This window comes from Homo sapiens, chromosome 16 (genome assembly GCF_000001405.40).
Source record: "Homo sapiens chromosome 16, GRCh38.p14 Primary Assembly".
Classification (NCBI taxonomy): domain Eukaryota; kingdom Metazoa; phylum Chordata; class Mammalia; order Primates; family Hominidae; genus Homo; species Homo sapiens.
The window spans coordinates 61,623,461-61,626,256 of record NC_000016.10 but is presented as its reverse complement, the minus strand read 5'-3'; positions in this window follow the sequence as shown (position 1 = coordinate 61,626,256).

Below are 2,796 nucleotides of genomic sequence, written 5' to 3'. Positions count from 1 at the left end.
ACAGACTTCAAGTGAGATAACTCAGAGATTCACACACAGATACCATTACTCTACTTTCAATAACATATACCACAGATACTAAGAAGTTAACAAAGATAAAAAAGACTTAAACAACACTATAAAACCTTTAGTCTTAACAGATAACTCACACAACACCACACTCAACAGGAGAATATACATTCTTCCCAAGTGAAGAAAGAATATTATCTAAGATACACTATAAGAAGCAAAATAAAGAAATTACAAGTGGTTGAATTAATATAAAAATGTTCTTTTACTAGAAAAAAATGAAATAGCAATATGAGAAAAAAATTGGGGAAATTCACAAATACATAGAAATTAAACAACACTCTCCTAAGTAATCAATGAGTAAAGGAGAAGTAAGATAAATTAGAAAACATTTTGAGATAAATGAACACAGAACACTACATACACAAATTTATGAAATACAGGTAAGGCAGCATTTAGAGGAAAAACAATATTCCTGATTTTAAATTTGGATTAGACAATGTTTTCTTACATATGACACTAAAACACAAGCAATAAAAGAAATCATAGATATATTGGATTCCATCTATATTAAAAATATTATGCCCCAAAGGATAAACCTCAAAAAAAAGAAAAGACAACCAAACAAATAAGAAAAAAAAAAAACTTTGCAAGTCATATATCTGACAAAGGACTTGTATCAATATTTAACAAAACTCCTTCAACTCAATTACAAAATGATAAATAACCCAATAAAAAACAGGCAAACAATTTTAATAGATATTCCCCTAGAAAGATTTAAATAGCCAATAAACACATGAAGAAATGCTCATTATTAGTCTTTAGAGAAAACAACTCAAAACCACAAGACACACACTGAGATGACAAAGGTTGGTGAAGATGTGGAGAAGTGGAGTCTGTGTATGCCACTGGTGGGACTTAGCAATGACACATTCATTTCAGAAAACTAAAAATGTTAAACATGAGTTTCTTATCACTAAGCAATTGAACTCATAGGAATACACTCAAAATAATTTAAAACATACATCTACATCAATATTAATAGCGGAACTATTCATTGTAGCCCAAAAGTGGAAACAACCCAAATATCTATAAACTGATGAATGAATCAACACAATATAGCATATTCATGCAACCGAATATTTTTCAACCAAGAAATGGAATGAAGTATTGATACATGGTACAACACAGATACACTTTGAAAATATCATATTAAGTGGAAGAAGAAAGACAAAAAGACTATATATTGTATAAATTCATTTAACTGAAATGCCCAGAAAAAGAAAATCTGTAAAACATGGAAAGAATATTAATTTTTGCCAGAAGCTGTAGCGGGAAAGGGGAGGATGATGAATAATGACTGCTAAGGTGTATGGGTTTTTTTTTAATGGAGTCATGAAAGTGTTGTAAAATTAGACAGTAGTTATATACACCTCTTTGAGTTCAGTAAAAACCACTAAATTACATACTTTAAAAGTATATAATTTATACTATAATTCTATAGTATGTGAACCATATCTCAATAAAAATGTTATTTAAAAAATAACACAGCTTGAATTTCACATTTATTTGTTTAGTTATTTAATTAATTTATGACTTCTTCAAAATATTGAATCTCACAAGGACAGAAACATTTGTGTGTCCCCCTTCAACCAACAACATCATTATTGAATCCACTGTATCTAAAGTGATTCCTATCACTCGGTAGGCATTGAAGAAATGTTAAAAGAGTAGTTTTTTAAAAGTGTGGAATGAAATTTGTATATGGCAACACGATTGCATGCTAGACCAATCATATCCTCATAAGACCGGAATGTCCTTGGCCACCTTCAGGGGACAAAAATAGCTGTTTAATAATTTATTTTTATTAAATTCACTCCCATTTCCTGATCTGAAGTGAAAAGAATTCCCTTAGTTAACAGTCATGAGCCACACCATAGTATGCATGGTTTAAATAAGAACAAAATGCTAAAATAGATTTCTTTTCTAAACAAATCAGTCCTCTGTTTTTGCTTATTCCATTTTACTTAATAAGATAACCACTGCAGTTATGCAGGTGACAAAAATTAAGTCAAAGTTACAATCACTCACAAGCCATTTATCTAAGGACCTTGGGAAAATTAGTGCTTCTAGTATGTCCTGTAAAAGGTTTTACTCTGGAAGAGAGGCAAGTATATTTTGTAATATTATGGTTTATGTATCTTTTGACCAACAAGTGTAAAACCACTGGTTGACAAAGACATGCTGTGCTCTCACAATCTTCCTGATAATTGATAAATAAAGCTAGCCTGGGAATCACTCTCCAGTAATAGCAGTGATGTCTTAAGCTGCGTAGCCTTGCAGTTTATCCTGCATTCACTCTGACTGTGACTTCAGAATCTCTGTATCTTAAAATCCTAGCCTACTTTCAGAACAGTGTTTTGTTTCTTTTTTTGCCAAGGTTAAAAATGTGTACATTTCAAAATATCATCCAGTACTCAAAATATCAACTGTTTTTCCTTAATCATTGAAAATTTTAAGCAGAATAATAACTGACATCTTACACTAACTATGGCATAGCAGGTGCTTTGCATACTTTATAAACCACATTCTCAAAATACAGATGAATAAACTAAGACCTCAAATTGTTCAGATAATTAATCAGTGGGAGAGGGCTTAATCCCACAGTGGAAGGAATTGGATTCAGACATAGCTGAGTTTGCTTACTTATGTTCATTACACCATTGGTTCTCAACTGGGAATTAATAACTTTGCCCCAGGAAACATTTGACAATGTCTGGAGACATT